The 23,574-nt window shown below is 38.9% G+C and overlaps 1 protein-coding gene across 38 annotated transcripts in view; it reads left to right on the top strand.

Annotated features, from left to right (window-relative positions):
* Positions 1-23,574, top strand: part of PEX5L (peroxisomal biogenesis factor 5 like) — a 241,980-nt gene that overhangs the window by 167,308 nt on the left and 51,098 nt on the right. For all 38 annotated transcript variants that reach the window (NR_146167.2, NM_001349404.2, NM_001349401.2 and 35 more), the window contains one exon: positions 10,473-10,568. Coding sequence is in view for 37 of the 38 variants with exons in the window: in NM_001349404.2 (NP_001336333.1) it covers positions 10,473-10,568 (96 nt within the window). In the remaining variant the exon portion in view is untranslated. The remainder of the gene's footprint in view (positions 1-10,472; positions 10,569-23,574) is intronic.

The following is a 23,574-nucleotide window of genomic DNA, read 5'->3' as shown; positions in this document are numbered from 1 at the left end:
AAGAGACAGGGGAATGGGAAAAGGTCAGAGACACCTTGGTTCTGAGGCTGCCTCTTTAGTTCAAAGTACCCGGCACGTCCAAGTGCCATGTTTTGGGGTACCATTTTTCTGAGCCCCAACAATACACTAATCAGAGTGACTGGAGGTGATAATAAATTATATAATCTCTGTGTTTTTAAGAATAAAGTTTCTTGACACTTACCCAAACTGTGTAACTAATATTCCCTGGAGTTGTTTTTAAAAGTCATATATCCCAAAAAATTAGAAAACACTTGAAGAATTAAGAAAAACACAGAAAGTAACATAAAATTACCCTTCTCCACAAATAGGTTAAGATAGTGATTAGTGAGGCAAAAGAAAAATAATTCAGCTTCTGCTGGAGACTGATGGTTCAAGCCTTTTTGGATTTGGACACTTGGAAGGGGAGCTCCAAGACAGGCTTTTGCAGACCTCGGTTAGATTTTACTGGGATGTGCAGCAGCCAGCTCTCCAAGTGCCAAGTCACAATTTTGTAACTCACTGATTTTGCTGACTTTGGCACAGCAAATGCTTCCATTCACATAGTCTTAATTCCAAACCAGAACAATTTAAATGTTGGCAATATCCTGAGGGGACCAAAGCCCTTGGTCCCCCTAAAGGTTCGCTGAAAAACCACTGACATGAGGCAGATTGATTAATGGGAGAAAAGGCATACAGATGTTCTTAACGTGTATACACAGGAGCCCTCGGAACGAAGACCCAACCCCCCAGTGAGGTACAGAAGCTTATATACCATCTTGAGGTTGTGGAGAGAATATGGGCTCAGAGCATGGGCAAAAACAGGTTTTGGTTGCAGGATGCGTTATGGGAGGGAGAAAGGAAGAGGCTTGGCTAGCAAAGGGGGCCTTATCATATAGATGAAGCCTCTGGCAGGTAGGAGTCTCAGAGAGAATAGCTGGTAAATGTTTCCTTTCAGTCCTTTAAAGGTGTCAGACTCTCAGTTAATCTTTCCTAGATCTGGGCAAAGGAAGTGCTGGTTGCATTAATACAGATTCTCTACAGATCTACAGATGCGAATTTCCCCAACAAAAGACAGCTTTGCAGGGCCACTTCAGATTATGTCAAAGAAATATATTTTGGAGTAAAACATTTTGATTTCCTTCAATCCCAAACCAGAGCAATTTAAACCTTAAGTGCAGGTATGTTTTCTAAATTTCTAAAGGAGTAATGTAAAAGGAAATGCATCTTAGTAGCTGTTATTTATCGCATACCTACTTCCTATGTGTAATATGAGATTATATTTTTATATATTATTTGAAATTCTTACAATAACTTTGGGAGTTAATATAATCCCCATTTCACAGAAGAAAAATACATCTTAGAGAGCAAAATTTTCCCCAGGTGACACAGCTAAAGAGGAAAGGATCCAGGACTCAAATCAACCCATTAGCTCCTAAAGCCTTTGTTATTGGGCTGGGTGCGGTGACTCATGCCTGTAATCCTAGCACTTTGGGAGACCAAGGCAGGCAGATCCTTGAGCTCTGAAGTTCAAGACCAGCCTGGGCAACATAGTGAAACCCCATCTCTAAAAAAAAAAAAAAAAAAAAAGAAGAAGAAGAAGAATAAATACATAAATAATAAAGCATTTGTTCTTAACTACAGACCACCTCCTTTCAGCCACATCATGCTTATCCACCAGAGATAATTCACAATTTCCCTTCTCACTGCAAACTCTGATTATTACTTACTTTTACAGGGTTGATATGATTAAGTAATTTTAAAGAATGTGTATCACTTTATTCCAGAATCTTTGTAAAACAAATTAGGATTGTCATCTGATTTCAGGCCATACACAATTTTGTGCCTTCCTCTTCCAAAATGATTGTCAAGCCCTTACTTTTAGAAGTATTGATGGCTTCCGTTTCATTCCATTCAGTTCAACAAATGTGTTTGAATGTTTACTCTCCGCGAGGCAAGGAAAGCATTGGAAAGAGGAGTTAGACTAAAGCTGAAATCTTTGTGTCTAACAGAAACTATTAGATACACTATCAATATTAATAATTTTGCTTGCTGGAATACAGTACAGGAGCCACTTCAACATGGCTTTTTCCCTCCAGGCCACACACAGTGAGTGATTAATGAGGAGGGAGTGAAACAAAGATGGAAGTCACGAAGAAAGAAAGAAGGCAGGCAGGCAGGAAAGAAATCTGAAAGACCACTTCCAGCACAGTAGGAAATCTGTACACAGTACATTCTCAAATATTTGTGGAAGTGGAAAATAAGGGATCCTAACAAAAAAGGAAAACAACTAATCAAATTTAACAATGTGGAAGTAGCAGCTGAAGTTAATTAAAGGGCAGGAAAAAAACCCAAAATTTTATTCTGGATCATTTTTAAAACTAGTTTCAATAATAGTTTTTAGTTTTGCCCGATAATAGACTGTTCACAAATCAGCACTTATTTGCCTCAATATTCTTCAACATAGAATTTGGTAGTTGAAGGGAGATGGGGACTATATGCTGCCATGCCTTGTACAAAGCTCTAGGAATTGGCTCCTTTACATACAAGGGACAGTTTTTGTGTGTATTTTCTTTTCTTTTTTTTTTTTCTTTTTTTTTTTTTTTTGAGACAGAGTCTTGCTCTGTCACCCAGGCTGGAGTACAGTGGCGCGATCTCGACTCACGGCAACATCTGCCTCCCAGGTTCAAGCAATTCTCCTGCCTCAGCCTCCCGAGTAGCTGGAATTACAGACACCAGCCACCATGCCCGGCTGATTTTTTGTGTTTTTAGTAGAGACAGGGTTTTGCGATGTTGCCCAGGCTGGTTTCAAACTCCCGAGCTCGGGCAATCCGCCCACCTCGGCCTCCCAAAGTGCTGGGATTACAGGCGTGAGCCACCGTGCCCGGCCGTGTGTACTTTCAATGACAAATGTTTGTTAGCTGTTTAAGAAAAAAAAATCCTGGGTATTTCAATGAGGAAAGTGTTTAAATGATCTATTCTAGTATAAGATTCCAACTAGTCTCTGCCAACCACTAAACAAAAGTTCTCTAAAAGTCACACCTGGTAGGCACTAACCAGAAAGATAATAATGAAAGCAAAGTTGTATTAAGCACGTACTATGTCCTATGTATGGTGTATTTACATGAATTGTTATCATCAGTCCTTATAGGGACTCAACATGTGACCGTATGCTTTACAGATGAAAATAGTTTAAGTAATTTGTCCAAGGTCACCAGGTGGTAGTAAATGGTAAACCAGGATTTGGCCTCAGGCAATCTGATTCCAGCATATGCTTTCAATGACCGTGTTATTCTGTCAGTCAAGGTCTGCTAGTTGTTATATTTTTCTTTTCTACAGTTAAACAGATTCCTTTTTCTCCTCCAGCGATAATATATAGGCAATTGTATGAGAAGCTATTAACAACGGTCATTGTGGTTAGCCAACGGAGTTTTGCTAGAACAAAGAAAATAAAATACAACATTCCTTTTAAAAATCTGTTAAATCCTTTCTTCTCTCTCTTTACCTAGTGCTTATCATTCAGAACAATCAACAGTTAGGGGAACTTAATGCTTTCTTCTTTGGAGAGTGCAATATCCTACAATCCAATTAAGTTAAACCAATTAAAATGCCATTTGTAAACCCAAGATGTTTCCAGGAGCTTGCTATAGCTGTGGAGCATTTTTCAAAATCATGCAAAGGAGAAAAGAAATGCCTACATTAGAGTACATTTGTGAACTCCAGTACATTTGTGAACTATATACACATAATGCCAATATCTAGATCAAAGGTTCTCTGTGTAGTTTCCTAGCCTAGCACTACCAGTATCACCTGAGAACTTGTTAGAAATGCAGATTCTGGGCCTTACCTCAGACCTACTGAATCGGAGTCCCCGGAGGTGGGGCCTAGCAATCTGCATTTTAACAAGGCCTTCCAGTGATTCCAGTGCCCACAAAGGTTTAGAAGTCACTGTGCTGTCAAAACAACTGCAACTCAAATGTATAAGTGTAACGTGTAGTTGTTTTGTTTACCATACCTTTATGTAAGTACTAAGCAATATAACCAGTTTATAAGCATTACTTTTGTATATATGTATATATCCCTTCCCACAGCTTTTGCCTGTGATGAAAAAAAAAAAAAAAGTTTGCATTGAAAGGAAGGCTGATCTTTACCATATGTTATAATCTGTATTTCATTCTGAATCCTAAACCTGTATGTCTGAGCACACCGCTAAGTTGCAGAAAAGTTTCAGGATCTTTAACCGCATACTAATCGCTATTCGAAAACTGCCTGTTTACCTTCAGTATTTACTGATCTTTGATGGCATTTATCTTATACTTTCTTGGGCAAAAGAAATGGTTTCAAAATGTGACATAGATAACACTCTTCTTAATGATAATCTAAGGCCTTCCTAAAAATGTGGAAAATAACACTTCCCTAAACAGTAATTGTACTATGAAAATAAAATTTCATTTACACAGTAAGATTCTATTTGCACTTGTTGTTTTAAGTGGCAAAGAGAATATGAACTGTAAGCCTAGAATTCGGAGAGATTTGCCTCTTCTTCCAGTGCCCTTTGCATCCTGTGATGCGCAGTGCAGCTGGTGCATGAAACACTGACGAAGGGAAGAAGCCAAGGACAGTAATGGATCCTGTTAGGTCAGGCTTCACAGGAAAGTGAGGTTGTATCTTACTGGTGAGAAGTGCCTGCTAAGAAAAGGACGTGCCCTGGGAAAAAAATATTAGTGCTTTCACTTTCCTCTACTGCCATTCATGGGTCATTCATGACATTATATAAATGCACAAAGATTTTTCCTTTTTTATTAATTCGTTTTTTACTGACAAATTACAATTTTATATATTTATCATGTAAAACATGATGTTTTGAAATATATATACTTTGTAAAATGGCTCAGTTGAGCTAATTAACATATGCATTCACTCACATACTTATTTTTATAGTGGGAATACTTAAAATCTAATTTCTTACCGAGTTTCAAAAATATAACACACTGTTATTAATGATAGTTACCATAATGTGCCATAGATCTCTTGAACTTTTTCCTCCTATCTAACTGAAATTTTATATCCTTTGACCAACATCTCCCAAACCCCTCAACCTTCACCTCCAGCTCCTGGTAACCACCATTCTACTCTGCTTCTATGGGTTCAAGTTTTTTCGATTCCACATGTAAGTGAGATCACATGGTACTTGTCTTTCTGTGCTTGGCATATTTCACTTAACACACTGTCCTCTAGGTTCATTCATGTTGTCATAAATGAGTTTTTCTTTCTTGTATAAGGCTGAATAGCATTCCATCATCTATATATATCACATTCTCCTTACCCTTCCTTCCATCGATAGACAGACTGATTCTGTATCTTGGCTATTGTGAATAATGCTGCAATGAACACAGGAATTAAAATATTGCTTAGACATACTGATTTCATTTCCTTTGGATATTGTATTAGTCTGTTTTCCCGCTGCTGATAAAAACATACCCGAGACTGGGTAATTTACAAAAGAAAGAGGTTTAATGGACTTAGAGTTCCACGTGGCTGGGGAGGCCACACAATCATGGTGAAAGGCAAGGAGGAGCAAGTCATATCTTACATGGATGGCAGCAGGCAAAGAAAGAGCTTGTGCAGGGAAACTCCCCCTTATAATACCATCAGATCCCATGAGACTTATTCACTATCATAAGAGCAGCACAGGAAAGACCTGCCCCCATGATTCAATTACCTCCCACCAGGTCCCTCCCACAACATGTGGGAATTCAAGAAGAGATTTGGGTGGGGACACAGCCAAACCATATCAGATATATACCCAGTAGTGGAATTGCTGGATCATGTGGTAGCTCTACTTTTAGTTTATTGAGGACCCTCGTCCTGTTTTCCATAATGGTTACACTAATTTGTATTTCCACCAACAGTTTACAAGGGTTCTTTTCTCTCCACATCCTCTCCAACACTTATCTTTCATCTTTTCGATAACAGACATCCTAATAGGTGTGAGGTGGTATCTCACTGTGGTTTTAACTTGCATTTCCCTATGATTAGTAATGTTGAATATTTTGTTCATATATCTATTGGCCATTTGTACGTCTTCTTTTGAGAAATGTCCATTCAGGTCCTTTTCCCATTTTTAAATCAAGTTGTTTTCTTGCTATTGAGTTAAGTTCCTTATATATTTTAGATGTTAACCCCTTATCAGATGTATGGTTAGCAAATATTTTCTCCTATTCTGAGGGTTGTTTCTTTGTCGTCTTGATTGTTTCCTTTGCTGTGTGGAAGTTTTTGAGTTTGATGTAATTCCACTTGCCTATTTTGCTTTTGTTGCCTATGTTTTTAGTGTCATATTTTTAAAATTCTTTGCCCAGACTAGTGTCATGTAGCATTTCCCCAGTGTTTTCTTCTAGCAGTTTCATAGTTTCAGGTATTACATTTAAGTCTTCAATCCATTTTGAGTTGGTTTTTGTATATAATGTGAGAAAAGGGTGTAATTTCATTATTTTGCATGTAGATATCCAGTTTTCCAAGAACCATTTATTGAAGACACTGTTCTTTCTCCATTGTGTATTCTTGGCAACTTTGTAGAAAAACAATTAACCATAAATGCATGGGTTTACTTCTGGGCTCTCTATTCTGTTCCATTGGTCTATATGCCTGTTTTTATGCTCTTATCATGCCATTTTGATCACTATAGCTTTGTAATATATTTTGAAGGCAGGTAGTGTTATCCCTCCAATGTTGTTCTTTTTGCTCAAGATTGCTTTGGGTATTCAAGGTCTCTTGTGAGTCTGTACAAATTTTATGATTTTTTTTTATTTCTGTGGAAAACATCATGGGAATTTTGATAAGAATTGGGCTGGATCTGTAGATTGCTTTAGGGAGTGTTTGGGAAATTTAACAATATTAATCCTTTCAATTCATGATCACGGGATTTTTTTCATTTATTTGCATTTTCTTCAGTTTCTCAGAAAGTTTATTTCTTACCATGTGTCCACACTTGAAATTTTTATATGTTTATTTTATTAATGAAGGAACCAACAGGAAGACAATAGAGTTGGTTCCAAAAGCAAAACAATGAGGAACAGAGCTTTATAAAGCCAGTTGGGAAATAAATGCCAAAATGAGTTTCCCTAGTTAGATACAAGATCGGCTAACTTTCTACAAGACAATAAGATATCACCGTTGGAGTTAACATCTCTACTAGGTTACAGCATCCTAACGACTTAATCCTAAAAGGTTGTGAACTGTCTTCCCCTTTATATTTGTTTATATTTGTTCATCGAATATACTGTGGCCCAAAAGTGTCAGATCAGGGTTGTAGTTGGCTGAATGGTGGCCAGATATAGCAAAATACATGATTAAATTACAGGACTCTGGAGAAGGAGGCTTTCCTGAACTATTTGGGTGGGCCCTAAATGCAACCACATGTACCTAATAAGAGTAAGGCAGACGGAGTTTTGAGAGAGAAGAGGAGGCAACATGGAGTGACGCAGTCATAAGCCAAAGAATGCCTGAAGCCACTAGGAACTAGGAGAGGCGTGGTGCAGATTCTCCCCCAGAGCCTTCAGAGGGAACGTGGCCCTGCTAATGCCTTGATTTTGGAATTCTAGTCTCCAGAACTTTGAGAGAATAAATTTCTGTCCTTTCAAGTCAACCAGTTTGTGGTAGTTTATATTTGTTACACTAGCCATAAGAAACTAACACAAGGGTCAAGAAGACTTAGAAAATTCTCTCACATGATATCAAGAAATCACACAACCTCAATTTGCCTCTTTCAAAGTTGGGCATACATTTTTCTATCACAAGTTCTTTTGCTTTTGCAAAGAGTATAAATTGGCTGCCACAATCCTGGAGTACAAGAAACGTCTTATTATTTTTATTTACTGATATTAAATCTGGCTCTAAGACCCTACTTGCCAGGATGATATGATAGTTGGCTTCACTTTTATGTTTCAGGTCACCCTCCCTGTGTCAGGTGTCTGGGTTAGGAGGAGGTAGTAGCTTTCATGGGGCCTAAAGAAGGAGGCTACTTGTTCATGGTGGCCCATGAGCCTGGCCCACCCAACAGTGAGGCGCTGATGCTCCTGCAAGCCCAGAGGTACCCCGCCACCCTTCCCTCTTCTGACCACAGACACCCCTGTAGGCGCCTCACCCCTGTGCTGCCTGCGGGCCTTGCATTTTCCTAGGCAGGCCCCTCCGGCATTCAGCTGCCATTGCCCACTTCTAAAGCCCAGGCAGTAGGACCTTGCTAGCACAGACCTCTGCCACTCCAGATCCAGGACAAAAAACAAGACCCCTTTCAGTCTCCTATAACTTCCTCCTTAGCCTCCTGGATTGAACAGAGAACCTTGACTGAGAACACCTTCTGGGGCTAAGGAAAGAAAATATCTTTAATTCATTCACGCATCTATTCATTGACAGCGTATTTTCAACAACTATTTATTGACTACTTATGGAGCACCTACTGCCTGCTAGGAGATACTGAGGATACAGAAGTATTCCCAACAAAGAGGAGGAAACATAAATTAATGTTTTAATAAATAAACGTTCCACATTTATTAAAGCAAAACACAGACTAACACTGTTGTTTACGGTCATAATTACTTCATTATTGCTTGCAATCCACAGTATTCTTAGGGCTTCGTTGTTGACTCCTCACCTATGCAACGGCCCCCCAGGGGCAGCCTTTCTCTGTTTTCTGTCTTCCTGGTATGACTGGGTGAGCACAGCCTCCTGGGAGAAGCAGTGTAGAACAGTGGTTATGAGCATGGCCTTGAAGTACCAGCCCTGCCACTTACTAGCTGTATAACTTTGGGCAAGCGAATTAAGCTCTCTGTATCTCAACATCATCATCTTGAAAATGGAGTTGATAATACCTACCTCATGAAGTCTCCAAAAAAGCAAAATAAATTATAATGTCTAAATTACTTAGAGCGGTGTCTGGTAGTACTATCGTGTCACAATAGAAGAGGGGGGTCCCCTTCAGGACCAACAATGGTAGAGAAATGAATGAAGAGCAGCTGAGCTATCTGGAGGGCAAGTGCTGTGTGAAGAGGAAAGTTTTGCTGTAGAACAGTGGTTTTCAAACCATGACTGCTTTTCAGAATTACCAGAGGCGCTTTTCAAACATCAAAGGCCCGGGTCCCACCCCCAGAGTTTCTTATTTAATTGGTTGGGGTGGGGCCCAGGCCTGTTCAAGTAATTCCCACGGAAAGCCAGGGTTGAGCATCACTGCTACAGAGCAATCTAACACACATACCAAGAAGTCACCCTCCCTACCCCACCTCCACTCTATAATAAAAGGGACCGGGGAAATTCATTTCAAGCCCCTCTCCTCCTATTCCCCAAGGCCTCACTGTGTCTCAGTGCATGCCTCATCCTGCAGCCCTTAGGCGTATGTGGGCACTCATCCCTTGTCTGGCCCTGTGCTGGGCATGGGGAGTACAAAAGTAACCAAACAAGATTCTTATCCTCATGGATCCCCTGGTAGAGCACAGAGGTTGACCAAAAAAAACAAAAAACAAAAATGGAAACTCTCCAAGGTAAATTGTTGAGTGAAAACATTGAAGAATTGCATGCCTTTTATGTTTCATATGTTTTTGAAACATATTACTGTACATATTACAATACACATTATGTGTTTAAATGTTTATGTAACTGCAGAGAAAAAGGTCTAGTGGTCCACCTCTTATTTTCTATGATTAATTTTTTTTCGAAATAAGTATTCAATTTTTGTGAAATTAAAAATTAATAACATTTTAAAAACTACAGCGGACTCTTGGGGAAAGGTCTTCTGAAAATATTTGCATTTAGCTAAGTTAAGATGTGTAAATATTACATTGCCTATTAATTGTGGCAAAGCAGTTGGCCTTATCAGACATGATTTTATCTAAGTGATTCATTATTATTTAATAGAGAGCAATATCCTAAGAAATGAGACATAAGACAGTGCCAACAGAGGGAAAGCAGAAGGAAGAGAACTATGCATGAGGATCTGCTGTGTACATACGGAGAAAGGCCTGGAAGCCACACTTTCATTTCTGCAGCTTTTATGTTTTTAACCGGAGGCTGATCTTCCTCACAAGCTGAAAGCTTGAATATCAATTTCTAAAGCTAGACTTGTAATGGAGATTGCCCATCCTAGCTGCGTATCAGAATCACTTGGAGAGGTTAACTAAAATATCAAGGCCTGGAATCGAGACCAATTAAAATAAGATCTTTGGGAGATGAGGCCTGAGGAGTGGTTTCAATATGTCCAGGGCTGAGACCCACTGTTGGAAGAATCACGCATGCATGCTCACACACATTTTGACAGCATCTCAGTTTAGGCAACATCATACCAGCACAGTACTCCAAAAATGTCATCAGTCACAGATGATTCTTGAACTCTAGGGAAGTGAAATGGGAAAAGGAAAAGCACCTGTATATTTCTATAATAACATGTGATTCTAATATTATAACACTATGTGTATGATTGATTTCAGGCTCGACTGACCAAAGAACATCGCTGGGGAAGCGCATTACTTTCTAGAAACCACTCCTTAGAAGAAGAGTTTGAAAGGGCAAAAGCAGCAGTGGAGGTAACTTTTCTTCAAATTAGTTTTTTCTGTTTCATGCTCCTGAGAGTGGCATTTGAAAAATCAAACTTCAGCAAGATAGAAATGAAATGGGTCTTACATTATAGACATGAAATAGCCATGATTATGATTGTCAAAATGAGACAATCATTTGGTACAGAATCTGGTATAATCAATGTACCAGAGAACATTTGATTTCCCACCAGGGATGACAAATATATATTACCTCTTATGCCAATGCAGTGATAGATTAGCAATGACTGTCAGGAGTCCTGGGTCAGAAAGAACTCTGAGTCTAGTCTAGGTTCTATGGTGAACCAATGCTATGGATTTGCTAGGTGTCTGTGAGGCCAAGGTTCATGCTTTATATTTTTATCTCTCTAGCATCTAGCACAATGTCTGAAACAGAAGATCTTGCTGCCCGTGTGATATATATGTTCCTAAGTAGGCGAGAAAAGGGCATGGCTGGAATATTCTAGCTAATGGATTGTCCCTCTTGACTTGAGCAAATTTTATTATTAAGAATGTCCAAAAATTGTTGATAATTCAAATGAATACCTGATTGGAACATTGATTTCTGTATTTAGTCTTCTAATAAGAAAGAGAGAGAGAGAAAAGGGAAGAGGGAAGAAAGGAGGGAGAAAAGAAGAAAGGGAAGAAAAAAAACCTAAATAAACAGAAAGCAACTTTTGCTGTTTTTTTAATGCATTTCCTTCCCGGGTAGACTCAAAAAGAGTGCATCACAGATGCTATCTCTGCTACTCATCAAAGCTTTGCTAGATTGCTATTTGAGTGTGGAGCTTTTCACTGAACTTACTTATGAACTTGTTGGAAACTCCGTTTCTATTATGGATATGAAATCTTGAAAATTGAAAGCATTTCTGGAATATGGTTCATTTATATGACTTGTCTTCCTAGAATTTGCATGAAAGGATTACACTGAAAGGGTGGTCTTTCAGTACCTCTATACCTGAAGCGCAATAAAATTATATTTGCAGTTTAATATTTAAAGGATTCTTTCAATTCTGGGAAAGACTTCCAGCCATAATTTCAGGTTATTATTCAGAAAGCCAATAAGAGAACACTTTTATTTCACCACAATACCATCTACCCAAATTCCTTAATTTTATCCTTTTTTAATTAAAAAAAAGCTAATGAATATTTAGTGCTCTTGAATGTGATCAACTGATGTATTTGGTTGAGACCAGCTGAGTTCAATCAAATTGTTCAAATGCATGGAGCCTGTAGCTCAATTTACTTTAAATGTAGGTTTTCCAAAGTTAAGAGCTAATTTAAATTTTATCTTTTGAACTCCTACTGTGTGTAGCACACTGAAATACCACTAAAACGATTATTTTAAACCCATGGAATCTTGGGTAAGTAAAGACATTTAAATGTATCTGTAATGAGAAAGATAATGAATTCACATTCAAAAGACTTAATTACAAAGTAACAGATCAACAAGGGAAGACTATCTATCTATCAAGATACATATATTCACAAATCATTTAATCTTCGCTTTGATAGAGACCTTAGAAGTCGTTTATCCCCACCAGACACACAAACCAAAAAAATTTTTTCTATTAAAACACTTCACAAATTATTACCCTGTTTTATTTGAACACTTCCAATTAGGGGCTACTCACTTCTTTTCAAGAAAATCCATTTCCATTTTGGACAGTACTAATTATCAAAAAGTTCTTTCTTATGCTGAAATTGGCCTACCAGCAACTTGCAGTTTTGCTTGGTCTTGGTTTTACCCCCTCTGGAGCAAGTCAGAATTAATCTTTCCTCTTCATGCCCATCTCACCCCAGCAAGCCACATCTCCTGGCTTCTCCTTGTCTGTACTGGGACCTGAGTTGTTATCCCAACTTGTCACTAAAGTTATATAACTACCTACATCTCATTAACCAATCTAGGCCTCAGTTTCCATGCCTCTATGATCCTTTCCAGTTACAAAATCCTAGAAGGCTTCAAGTTACTTCAAGTAGTTATTCATTCAGCAAACCATACTGGCTGTTTACGTGTACTGGCTGCTGATCTAGGTTCTAAAGATAAAGAAATGATCCAGCATTACTTAGCAGTCTAACAATAGCATGGTCCACAGGACCAATTTGGACAAACCACTTGTTCATTCTACTTTAGTTTCATATCACCTGTAAGTTGAGGGGCTTGGATTCCCAATATACTAAAACCCTGTAAGTTTATGTCTTCAAGTAAAAAGAATGGTAAGTACAGAATTCCCAGCAAATCAGAAAACTATAAGCAGAGTTGCTTAACCAGAAGCCTGGTACTGGGAAGCCTCCCTAAGGAATGAAGGGAAATGGTGCCCACCAGAAGGTGTGAACAGGTGTGGAGAAAAAAGTGTGTGAATGCGTGGGGAAGGAGGAGATAAAGTATTTACATTAAGCTGATGGTAAATCATGCCTCCAAAACTTCACACATATTTACTTCCAGACATTATTCTTACCCAGGGTATTATCTAAATTCATAGCGGAAGACATAATAATATGCCTCAGAAGAGTCTTGGAAATATTTATGCTCATCGACCCAGCCACTTCATAGAATTTATCCTAGAGACGTAACTTGAAAGTTGCAATATTTTATCTGTAGAATTTCATTGAATAGTGAAAATTTGGAAAAAGCCGAAGTATCCCATAACAGAGTTTAACTAAAATTATATCATATCCTTATAGCAAAATACTATGTAACTATTAAAAATGTCTAGCAATAATTGAAATAGTAGTTTATATATGGAAAGTTTTACAGTATAATCCCAACTTTGTAAAATGATAACAGCATAATAGGTAACATGTTAAAGAATGTACTATGTGTGAGGTACTAAATCAGGAAAATTACATGGCTTATGTCCTTTAATCATCACAGCAGTGCTATGAAGAAAGTAAGATTACTATTCCATTTTTCAGAAGAGAAAACTGAGGCTTAAAGACCTTGCAGACAGTTATGTGGCATTTTATAAGCCATTAAGATAGACTGAAAGTCAACTAGCAAGTTGAAAAACAAGTTTAGCAAGTTGCAAAGCAACGATTCTCACCCAGACTCCAGAGTTTGTATTCTGAACCACTGCATTGTATGAACATAGAGTTTGTCTTAGTCCATTTGAGCTGCTATAACAAAATAACCTGAGATATGGTCATTTATAAGTAGTAGAAATGTATTGCTCACAGTTCTGGAGGCTGAAAAGCTCAAGATCAAGTTGCCAACAGATTTGGTGTCTGCTGAGGGCCCATTCCTCATAGATGGCACCTTCTTGCTGGGTCCTCACATGGCAGAAGGGCAAAAAAGGCTAACAAATTCCCTCAGGCCTCTTGTGTAAGGGCACTAATCCCATTCATGACAGCCCCGCCCTCGTGACCTAATCACCTCCCAAAGGCCCTACCTCTTAATATATCACCTTTGGAGTTAGGTTTCAACATACGAATTTGAGGGAACACATTCAGACCATAGCAGATTCTGTGCCCAAATGTTAGCAATAGTTATTCTTGGGTGGCTGGATTTGGAATGGATTTTTGCTTCTCCTGTTGGCTTATTTGTATTTTCCAAATGTTCTTTCATAAAGATGTATTATGTTGATAATCAAGGGGAAAGTTGTAAGTCATGGACACTACAGTGGGATATAAGATTCTTAAAAGGACTAAAAGTGTCTTATTCTTTATTTCAAGACAAAGAATGGTGATGCAGATTGCTTTCATCAGAGGCAATTTTAAATACTAGTAAGCTCCAGATGAAAATCATGCCTGGAGCAAGTTGAATTTTTCCAAAATCTCTGCCTTATGTTTTTATATCATCTGATTCCAACGTTCTTCCTATTTTACATTCTATTCCATTTTTTGTTATCATCCTGCCTCATGATCGGCACCTGGCCACCTCTCCACTCTTTCTTCTTCTTCTCAGTCCCCTTACTGAGCTCCAGGTGTTTTGGCTTCTGCCTTTCTCTCTGTTCCTCTCCCACACCCAAGTTTACTGCCCACTGTCCCCACCTTCTCTTCTGTCTATATGGAACACTCTTTCCTCCGATCTTCAGGTGGCAGGTTCCTTCTTGACATTCAAATTTTAGCTGCATTGCCAATACCTCAGAAAAGCTGAACCTGATCACTCAATTGCCATTGCATCACCTAGGCCTTTGTTTTTCATCCTAGTATTTATCACTGGGTCCTTTCTTGTTTGTTTTTATTTATTTATCTGTCTATAATCTGTCTTTCTACTTTAAAAATGTAGCCTCCATGAGAAAAGGGGCCTAGTCTCTTATTTACCACTGTACCCTAATATCTAGAACAATGTCTGGTGCCTACGAATAATCAATAAATATTTGTTGACTGAATGGATGGATGAATGAAATTCATTCATTAATTAATGTTAATCACTCTGTATGGGTAACGCTTTTTTTCATCTATCTATTGTTGTATATAAAGTGCCATATAACCTTCCAACATAACTGTATCTCCATTTTAATAGTTGACATTAAACAATTCTGCCTGAAGCATACAGATTTCTGCCTGGGACTGGGCTGCAGTGTCCTCTGTAATTGTCTTGGTCTTGATGTCAGTCAGAGAGACACATTTATAAGAATGCAGGCTCCAACCAATCTTGCCAGTAACATTGGGCATATTTTGTATTTTAGATGGTATGAACCCATTTTTACTTATATTAATACCTGGAAATGTGCAAATCGACTAAGTTTTTGGCTGAAGTGCCCTAAAATACATTATCCACTGTTGGAGAAAAGACAACTAAAACCACATGAACATGTATTGTTTGTAGTAAATGACCTGGGAACCTGTTTATGTGCAAAGACTGTCATTCCTCAAGCTCACGTTGAACTCTTAGCTCTAGCTAAGCCTTATATGGGTGAGGATCTTTTCCTCCATATCTTAACATTGTATTGAAACATCAAGTCTGGCGTGGTGCCTCATGCCTGTAATCCTAGTCCTCTGGGAGGTGAGGTTTCACCATATTGCCAAGGCTGGTCTCAAACTCCTGGGCAGGCAGATTGCCTGAGCCCAGGAGTTTGAGACCAGCCTGGGCAACAAGGTGAAACCTCATCTCTACAAAAAGACAGAAAAATTAGCCAGTCATGGTGGCACGTACTTGTCATCCCAGATACTCAGGAGGCTGAGGTGGGAGGATCGCTTGAGCCCAGGATGTAGAGGCTACAGTGAACCCTGATCATGCTACTGCACTCCAGCCTGAATGACAGAAGGAGACCCTACCTCCAAAAAGAAGAAGAAGAATAAGAAGAAGAAGAGGAAGAGGAAGAGGAAGAAGAAGAAGAAGAAGAGGAGGAAGAAGAGAAAAGAAAAATTGTCTCTACCTAAAGTATTGTAATTTTAGGACAAAGAGATAGATACTCCCATTCTGGGCTTAAAAAATAAAATGCATCTTCCCTGAACAAAAGAGAGAGGAGCTTCCTCTATGCTTCCCCCTGGATTTTCCTTATAGCCAGCAGCCTAAATGCACTGTCCACTAGGTCCCTAGGAAGGATGCACAGGGAGGCACAGGAGTGACAAACTGCGAAGGAGCTCCCAGAGCTCAGTGAGGCCCAAAGCTGCCTCCCAGGAGTGGAGATTTCTACAGAGAATTATGCTTCATCTGCAGAGGAGAGAGAAGGTCATGTAAGAAGTCAGCACACTGCAACCACAAGCCAAAAATACCTCCTTCATCAACGTTAGCAGGAAGGGAAAGAGAGCCAGCCAGCATCTGGTATTGTGTTTAGCTAGTCTCTCTAAGTGCTGCAACATTTAGAATACATTGGATTTAGCAACACATTCATCAGACATGCCTTAGCTGCTTCCATGGGCCAGGCACTGTGCTGGGTGCTAGTAATAGAGAATTGAATAAGATCAATTCTGTCCTTAAGGAGTAATTAAGGTGAAGAATCACAGACAAATACAAACCAGGTGATCACTCAAGTATAGCTTACCATGTGATATAGTTATTATGGGTTTCATGTCGATCTCCCATACCAGATTGTGACTTCCTTCTTTATTCATCCTTCTTTATGTTCCCAGCACCTGCCATAGAGTCTGGTGCAAATTTTTACTGGATAAATAAATGAACAAATTAACAATTTATTATTTTAATGCATCTATTTCATCTAAACATCTCTTCACTAGTGAGTGCTTAAGGTATATGACTAACTTACTGACCGACTAACAAAGGATGAACTTTTCCCCCTAGATTCAAAATCACGTTCTGCTTAACTCTAATATTATTATAATGCTTGTTTTATGCCTTTTAAGCAATGTTTTCACAGCTCTACTTTTACCCTGAGGAGGTATTCTTATGAGCAAATTTTTTTAAAGAATAATGAAATATGTAAATGAGAAAAAATGAGGATGTATGGACAAAGTAGAGTACAGTTCAGTCATCAGAGGCAAGAACAGGAAGCATATCCTTACATCCTTCTGGCAAATCAGTTGAGACTATTAAATTCTACTAAGACCTTTAAATTCTAGAACTCTGGCTCTTCTCGTCCCCCACTTCTCTTTTCTTTAGCTTTACGTGAAACCTTACTTGTGATAGTTTAACATGTCCACAAATTATTTGATACTCCCTTCAAAATATGGGAGCTTAGTTCTCTTCCTCTTGAGTGTGGGCTGGACTTAGTGACTCACTTCTCATAAATAGAATAAAGTGGAAGTCATGGTGTGTGACTTTTAAGATTAGGTCATTGTATATACTGTGGCCTCCTCCCTGCTCTTTCTCTCAATCACTCACTCTGGGGTAAACCCAGCTACCACATCATGCAGACTGTTGGCAGCCCATATGAGGTCTCCTGTCCACACCACATGAGGGAGCTATCTTGCGAATGGATTCTCCAGACCCTACCTTGGGATGACTGCAGGCCCAGCCAGCAGCTTAATTCCACCTTCATAAAAGACCCCAGGTCAGGCCATCCAGCTAAGTTACTCCCTAATTCCTGACCCTCAGAAACAGTGTGACATAGTAAACGCGTGTTGCTTGAAGTTGCTAAGTGTATGGTGATTTGTTAAGCAGCATTCGATAACTACTCCTCACAGTCCCCAGCCTCGTCCCATTCCACTACTCTCTTCCTCATCTCCATTCCTAACACCATTTAATACTCCCAAAATTGGAAGATTACCCTTGTAGCACAGAAACAATGTATTCATTCATTCTGGATGGGAATTTTTCAAACTATTCCCCTACTATCTAGCTGGTTCTAAGCTTGTCCTCTCTGATCCCCAAAAGAGAATGAATGAAAACCTTTTTTGTGACAGTCCATGTTCCTTAGGGGACATTCAGCCCTTCACCAAGGATCTGGCTGGGGACTTTTGCATTTTCTTCTGCAAAGCTCCTAGACCTCTCTTCATGACAATCTTCATTGAAAGCAGCTTTCTAACCTTCCGTTTATATGTCCTATTGCAGAGGGCACAACCCTCAAGGCTTCAAGCTAACATTGCCTCCCACAGCATTTTATGAAAAATCATAGCAAATTGGTAATTACTGTTATAAGAACATGGGCAGTGAAAAAGTTTACTGCTAACTAGTAATTCCTTGTCCTAGAAATACAGGTGATTGCTATGGTATGAATGTTTTGCCCCTTTAGCATTCATAGGTTGAAGCCCAATCCCCAGTGAGATGGTATGAAGAGATGGGGCCTTTGGGAAGTGACTAGGTCATGAAGGTGGAAAATGCCCTTATAAAAGAGATCTGAGGGAGCTTGTTTGTCCTACAAACATGTAAGGATAGAGCAAGAAAGCAGTTTCAATGAAGACCAGGCCCTCACCAGACACCTAATCTGCCAGCTCCTTGATCTTGGACTTCTCAGCCTCCAGAACTGTGAGAAATAAATGTTTGCTGTTTATAAGCCACCCAGTTTATGGAATTTTTGTTATACCAGCCCAAACAGGCTGACAGTGACTTTCTTTACTTCTCTTTAACTTTAACTAACAGATGCCATACTCAAAACAACACAACAGCTAAACCCAGCTTCAGTGACATAAACTCAAAAGTGCTTTCCATATAGAAATTTTGTTTTTACCTGAAATTATTCCCAGTGTATATACTATAGGTCTGATAGGCATCTCAGAAATATCAAGTTATTGAACAAAATTGGAGACCATTCTTGAACTGCTTTTATTAATATAGGATTATATAAGAAACTGCTAACTTGGGTGTCCTCCTAGCAAGAAAATTATCCATCTCTAGCACCTCCTCAAATTTTCTTTTGCTTTCTATGACAATATTACCTCTTTGAAGTGGAAAGAACTGATGCATTAAACATTCCTTAAACCATTCTAACTTAGATTCAGTATCCAAAAAGGAGAAAATCTTCTGATAATGTATGAAAACATTCTTTGGGCAATATTAAAGAAATCTTGAAGTTAACTGCTTAAAATAGAGATTTCCTAAAGATTGGTTTGTCATGTTAGCTAACATCCTTCACAAGTCAAATGTAGATAAATCATATGTTGTGTGAGTTCATTGGGAAAATGGCAAAACTCCCTTTGCTCTCACATTGATTAGATTTTCTTCTGTTTTAAACAAATAAAATTTTACTTCCAAAAACAATATGAAGCAGAGTTAAGAATAATGGTAGAATCACTTGCAATGAATGCTGAGAGATGGTAAGGATAAAAGTATAAGGCAAGATAAGGCCTGGCACGGTGGCTCACACCTGTAATCCCAGCACTTTGGGAGGCTGAGGTGGGTGGATTACCTGAGGTCAGAGGTTTAAGACCAGCCTGACCAACATGGTGAAACCCCGTCTCTACTAAAAGTACAAAAATTAGCCAGGCATGATGGTGCATGCCTGTAATCCCAGCTACCTGGGAGGCTGAGTTAGGAGAATCACTTGAACCCAGGACACAGAGGTTGCAGTGAACCAAGATCACGCCACTGCACTCCAGCCTGGGCAACAAGAGCAAAACTCCATCAAAAAAACAAAAAAAAAAAGTATAAGGCAAGATAGTCTTAGATAAATTTGTGGATAAGTGATCAGTTAAAAAAGAGGGATTTACAGTCTATCTCTAAATTTTTAAGGTCAGAATTATGGGTAGTTGCCATATCATTTCACTTCTTTTTGATATCTACTATATAAATCCTAAAGTAATAAAAATATTTAATTTGACCCATTCTAACAAAACCTTAGTTATTCACTGATAAGTCTTCTAGACCATCAGATTTGTAGACTACCTCCAGACCAAAAAGTAGTTTGGAAAATTCCCTTAACTTTAAATCTGAGAAATCCACGATCTGCATTCTGGATGTGATCTCATCAATCCATACTAACCGAGCAAATAAATGGAGAAGAAAGTGAACATGAAAAGACATAAACTCTATGTGAGCCAGCCTTGAGGAGTTACAGACTATTCTGTGCTTCTGTTTGTCCATTGGCATGTCCAGGACAATAACTTTTACTCTTTTCTCTTCAAAGAGAGTCTCTAAACACCAGTGGGACAGTAGCTTGCAAGTAGTTTGAATCATTTCTTGGAAGGCTTTGTGCCCAGGAATCACATGTTAAACTTACAAGAAAAAGGAAAGTAGCATAATAAGGTATGTGGAAAAAGTCTCAAACTAGATGTAGGTCCTCAGTCTAATTTTGAAAATATGGCATTTGGGCCGCAGCTTTTTCATTAGTAAAATGCGTGGTTGAAATTAAATTGGATTTCATGTGCTATGAGATCAGATGGAAAACAGATGAACATTTTATTTTAATAATTGTGCATTTATTTTCATATATATTTAAAAATATAATTAGCACTTCAAACTGGCGATTTCACAGACATAATTTAGGCAAGGCTTAAGTAGATTTTGCCTATATAAGTAATAGAACTGTATTAATTACAAAATACATTGTATAAATAGCAATAAAGTACAGAAATGACAAAAGTTATAAAGTTTAGGAAACTGGTATTGATGATTCTTGAGGTCCATTTATTACTTAGGGTAACACTAGTAGCTATAAAAGATTCCCCAAAATGGAATTGCCCAAACAAGATACTTTATTTCTTTCGTGTGCAATAAAAGTCCCAAACTAGCAGGAAGACCTACCCCATGCCATTATCCAGGGTCCCCTGTTCCTTGTAACTTCTTTCTCCTCCATCCCCAAGGGTGTCATCCTCATCTGCATGTTCAATTCTTGCTCCATTCTATGCAGGGAAGAAAGAGCTTGAGGAGGCAGTTCCACTTTCCTAAAAGCTCTGACTCAGATCTCATCTCCTCACACGCCATTGGCAGGGTCTTAGTCAAGCACACCACAGCACCACCATCCCCACTGACCCCTACCCCAAACTGCAAGGGAAGCTGAGAAATGGCCACCATTCAATTACCACAATTTGAGGGCATTTTGATTGGCAATGAGTAGTTTCTGCCACAGGGCCCTTCCAGCTCTGATATTCTAAATAAACTTTGAGTTGTGGGAATATTAGAAACCATCACTCTTTCTGTTTCTCTGTCACATGCACACATTTATTTTACTGTCGAGAGAAGTTGCTATTAATTCTTCTTTTCTTTTTTTTTTTTTTTTTTGAGAGAGGTTTCACTCTGGCACTGAGGCTGGAGTTCAGTGGCATGATCTCAGTTCAGTTCAGCCTCGCCTCCTTCCAGGCTCAAGCAATTCTCACACCTCAGCCTCCTGAGTAGCTGGGACTATAGACATGTACCACCATGCCTGGCTAATTTTTGTATTTTTTGTAGAGACGGAATGTTGCCATGTTGCCCAAGCTGGTCTTGAACTCCTGAGCTCAAGTGATCTGCCCACCTCAGCCTTCCAAAGTGCTGGGATTGCAGGTGTGAGCCACCACACCCAGCCAAATTTTTGCTTCTATAGGAAGAATAACATAATTTTATTTCTGTCGAATGCTCAAAATCCTATATTTTTCTTAGCAGTGCTGCACTGTATAAATCAATCATCAGTATTCTATAAAATTTTCTGTAGCATTGAATACTGTTACTCGTTGTTTATTGAAAAGGAACAATAATGAGATCTGCAGGTTACACACTTTATTTTTGCCTTACAGTGAAGCCAGGGGTTAGAATAGTTTTGGTCTTTAGTTCTATATTCAAGTCAGCTATCTGCTTATTCTGGTTTTTATTTAAAAAAAAAAAAAATACCCAAACGTTGGAACACCAAGGCAGGAGAATCACTTGAGCCCAGGAGTTCAAGACCAGCCTGGGCAATATGGCAAGACCCTATCTCTACAAAAGATCTAAAAATTAGCCACTCATGGTGATACAGATAGTCCCAGCTACTCGGGAGGTTGAGGTGGGAGAATCACTTGAGCCCAGGAAGTCAAGGCTGCAGGGATTCCTGTTTGTTGCACCTGGGCAACAGAGAGAGAACCTGTCTCAAAAAAAACAAAACTTGTCTCAAAAAAAAACTTTTTATAAAGTAAAATCAAAATACTGAATGACTAAATATTCTTTTCTGACTAAAAACACTTAAGCTGCTTATTGGTTTAATATGTAGAACATCAAATACACAACCATTCAGGATTCAATGGAAAGTTGGTAAACTCCCTGTGGGCAAAGAGACATCTTGAATTTCCTTTATTCATTTGACTTTATTCATATAATATGCTTTAATATGCTGGGTATATAGCTGTTTAATAACTAAATACTTCCTATTGATTAAGAGAATAATCCTTTTCCATGAGGGCAACCCGTTATACCTCTTCTTCCCAGGTGATCAGTCATCAGTACCTTAGATCTTATATTAGTCGGGGTTCTCCAGTGAAACAGAACCAAGAGGAGATATAGCTGTATACCAATATCTGTATATCAATCAATATACAGATATCTATATATCAATCAATATACAGTTATCTATATATCAATCAATATACAGATATCTATATATAAATACATATGCACATATATATCCACCCACCCCATCCAATATCACACTATATCACCAATAGGAGATATATCAATATATACAGACATATCTCCTATTGGTTGGGTGGGGTGGGTGGATATACATATATATATATATATATACACACACACACACACACACACATGGAGAAAGGGAGAGAGAGAGAGGGAGGCAGGGAGAGCGAGATCTTCATATGTAGATCTCTATATATATCTCCATATTTAGATTTATTATCAGGAATTGGCTCACACAATTGTGGAGGCTGAGATGTCTCTAGATCTTCCATTTGCATACTGGAGACTCTGGTGAGTTTGGGGTGTAGTTCCAGTCTGAGTCCAAAGGTCTGACTGAGTACCAGAAGAACCTTTGGTGTTAGCTCAGTCTAAATCTGAAGGCCTGAGGACCAGGAGAGCTGATGGTGTAAGACCAAGTCTGAGGGCAGGAGAAGACCAATGTCTCAGCTCAAGCAACCAGGTAGAGAGAGTAAATTCTCCCTTTCTCTGCCTTTTGTTCTATTAAGGCCCTCAACAGGTTGAATGATGCTCTTCCAACTGCGGAGGGCAATCTGCTTTACTCAGTCTACTGATTCAAATGCTAGGCTCATTCAGAAATACCCTCATAAGCACACCCAGAAATAATGTTGAAGCAAATACCTCAGCACTCCATGGCCCAGTCAAGTTGACACATAAAGTTAACCATCACAGCTGGGGAGGTGGTGGGGGTGATGAAACGAGGTTGGTTGATGGGTGCAAAAATATAGTAAGATAGAATAAGTTCTAGTGTTGAATGGCACAGTAGGGCAACTATAGTTAACAATAATTTATTGTATATTTCAAAATAGCTAGAAGATTTGAAATGTTCTCAACACAAAGAAATGGTAAGTGTGTGAGGTGTAGGATAGCCTAATTACCCTGATTTGATTGTTACACATTGTATGCCTACGAAACATCACATATACCTCATAAATATGTACAACTCTTATGTATCAACAACAAATTTTAAAAACTAACTATCATAGTTTTTTTTGTTTTTTTGAGACAGAGTCTCTCTCTGTCACCCAGGCTGGAGTGCAGTGGTGTGCCCTCGGCTCCCTGCAACCTCTGCCTCCAGGGTTCCAGTGATTCTGCTGCCTCAGCCTCCTGAGTAGC

Source organism: Homo sapiens, chromosome 3 (assembly GCF_000001405.40).
Source record: "Homo sapiens chromosome 3, GRCh38.p14 Primary Assembly".
NCBI lineage: Eukaryota > Metazoa > Chordata > Mammalia > Primates > Hominidae > Homo > Homo sapiens.
This window is presented reverse-complemented; position numbering and strand designations above follow the sequence as displayed.